Source organism: Homo sapiens, chromosome 3, assembly GCF_000001405.40.
Source record: "Homo sapiens chromosome 3, GRCh38.p14 Primary Assembly".
Classification (NCBI taxonomy): Eukaryota; Metazoa; Chordata; class Mammalia; order Primates; family Hominidae; genus Homo; species Homo sapiens.
In genome coordinates this window covers 121,559,101-121,561,995 of record NC_000003.12, presented here as the reverse complement: position 1 = coordinate 121,561,995, position 2,895 = coordinate 121,559,101, and the positions used below count along the sequence as shown (strand labels likewise).

The 2,895-nt window shown below is 46.2% G+C and overlaps 1 annotated feature.

Moving 5' to 3' along the window:
• Positions 277-974: an enhancer, noted in NCBI's record as "H3K4me1 hESC enhancer chr3:121279869-121280566 (GRCh37/hg19 assembly coordinates)". NCBI's record gives its function as "activates a minimal SCP1, AML or CMV promoter by ChIP-STARR-seq in naive H9 embryonic stem cells {active_cell/tissue: H9 hESC(naive)}" and the evidence as "EXISTENCE:reporter gene assay evidence [ECO:0000049][PMID:30033119]".

The window sequence follows — 2,895 nt, the reverse complement described above, 5'->3', positions numbered from 1 at the left end:
CCTTATTCCAGGAGCTGGTCTTGTTTCTGAAAGTCTGATTGGCTCATTCTTTCTTATCCCCAGGTTGCTTCTTCTCCAGCTCGCCCTCCTCTGAGCTTGGCAGGGCCTAAGACTCCTCCCTAACTCCTGCCTGCCAGTGTCCTTGTTCAAACGTGAAGAGCTAAAAGAAGGCAAAGATGTAAATAAAACTTAGGCAGTTTCCCCAGAAGTAAAAGTATCTGCAAGATGAGGAGAAGGACAGAAAAGGAAGGATAAGGAGAGTGAGAAAATGTAGAAAACAGTGAGAATGGGCCCTGGAGCCAGAATATATGCATCTAGGCTCCACTATTTACTAGATGTGTGGCCTTGGGCATTTTTTTTTTTTTTTTTTTCAGACAGAGTCTCGCTCTGTCTCCCAGGCTGGAGTGCAGTAGCACAATCTCGGCTCACTGCAAGCTCCGCCTCCTGGCTTCACGCCATTCTCCTGCCTTACCCTCCCGAGTAGCTGGGACTAGCGCCCGCCACCGCGCCCGGCTAATGTTTTGCATTTTTAGTAGAGATGGGGTTTCACCATGTTAGCCAGGATGGTCTCAATCTCCTGACCTCGTGATCCGCCTGTCTCGGAATCCCAAAGTGCTGGGATTACAGGCGTGAGCCACCACGCCCGGCCAACCCTGGGCATGTTACCTAACCTTTTGGGGTGGTTCTGAGGTTGTCAACCCAAGTAACAAATGGAAAGAGGCCCTCTAAAAGGAAAAGATATAAATCTGGGAATAGAGCATTGCAAAGGGAATACACATGCCATAATAAATTATGGGCATATTCAGGGAGGTAGAGGAAGACAAAGATGTTTAAAGGAAGAAACGAAGAGAATTACATAATTATTTTGAAACAATTATCCCCGGCTACAAAAATCAATAACAAGGATGATGCCAGTCTGAGGTTGGACAGGCAGTTGCTAGGCAGATGTCCTTCCAGAAGTATCTTTTGTGTAAGATCGCGATGGCCACTGTGCAAGGTTGTATTTTTGGCAGAATCTTTTGTGATAGTTTTTGTTATCAGGCATATAAGCATGAGGACCTTCTATTCATGGCCTTCCCCAGCTCTTTTCGTCAGGATTTTTGTTTTTGTTTTTAACATTAATGACACCATTTTAGTTCTGATTACTTTCACAAGGTTAAAGCGATTAATATCACTGGAGCAATCAGAACATTAAATCATCTGTAATACTGTGATTTACAGTAAAATGTATATGCACATGTATATTTCCTGGCACAGAGCTCCGCAAAGTCAGAATCTCTGGAGTGATAATCGTGTGTTTTGTATGTCAACACAATGACTGGTAGCTGGCAGCCCTAGGTAGCTTCAGTGTGGGGCTGGTCACCAGAAAGACCAAGGCATGATTAGAGGATTGGGGCTTTCAGCCCCACCCTCCAATCTTCAAGGAGACGACAGAAGGCTAAAGGTTAAGATGGTCACTAATGGCCAATAATCCAGTCAATCATGCTTACATAATGAAACCTCCATAAAAACCCAAGAGGACAGGGTTTAGAAGAGTGTCTGGATAGCTGAACATGATGAAGTTCCTGAAGGGTGGTGAGCCCAGAGCAGGCATGGAAGCTCTGCACCCCTTCCCACAAACCTTGCCATAGGTATCCCTTCATCTGGCTCTTCAGTATCTTTTATTATATCCTTTATTAATAAACCAGTAAACATAAGTAAAGTGTTTACCAGGTGCAGTGGTGCATGCCTGTAATCCCAACACTTTGACAGACCGAGGTGGGAGGATCACTTGAAGCCAGAGGTTTGAGCCCAGTCTGGATAACATAGTGAGACTCCATCTCTACAAAAAAATAAAAAAAATTAGCTGGGCAAGGTGGCACATGCCTGCAGTGCCAGTTACTCAGGAGCTGAGGTGGGAGGATCCCTTGAGCCCAGGAGGTCCAGGCTGCAGTGAGCTAGGATTGCACCACTGCACTCCAGACTAGGCAACAGAATGAACCCTGTCTCAAAAACAAAACAAAACCATGTTTCTCTGAGTTCTGTGAGCCACTCAAGCAAATTAATTATACCCAAAGACAGGGTTGTGGGAACCCAAATTTATAGCCAGTGGGTCAAAGCATAGACCATAACCTGTGCTTGCAACAGGCATCTGAAGTGGGGACAGCCTTGTGGGACTGAGCTCTTGACCTGCTGGATCAGATGCTATTTCCAGGCAGGTAGTGTCGGAATTGAACTCAATTAGAGGACACTTAGCTGGTGCCCACTGGAGAATCTGCTGCAGAATTGGTTGCTGCTGGGGAGAAATCCCCACATACATTTTGGTGACCCCAGGTGAGGTGGTCTTTTTTTTTTTTTTTTTTTTTGAGACGGAGTCTCGCTCTGTTGCCCAGGCTGGAGTGCAGTGGTGTGATCTCATCTCACTGCAAGCTCCGCCTCCCGGGTTCAAGCAATTCTCCTGCCTCAGCCTCCCGAGTAGCTGGGACTACAGGCGTGTGCCACCATGCCCAGGTAATTTTTTGCATCTTTAGTAGAGATGGGGTTTCACCATGTTGGCCAGTCTGGTCTCGAACTCCTGACCTCGTGATCCACCTACCTCGGCCTCCCAAAGTGCTGGGATTACCCGCGTGAGCCACCGCGCCCGGCCAGATTATGTTCTTATCAGTAAGAAAAGTGGGGCTTATATGGATATGACAGTGTGCCCAAGGTTAGACTCAGGAGGTGGCAGAGCCGGGTTCTAATTCAAGACTTATCTGACTCCAAAGACTTTGTACACAACCCCCACTCTATATATAGAGATGAGTCACAAAAATTAGAAGTGTGAAAGAAGGAAAAAATTCAATGAGATTCAGAGATAGAAAAACAGAAAGTCAGACGCAGAGAAGGAGAAAATAGGAGGAGGGAGAGACAGCAAAA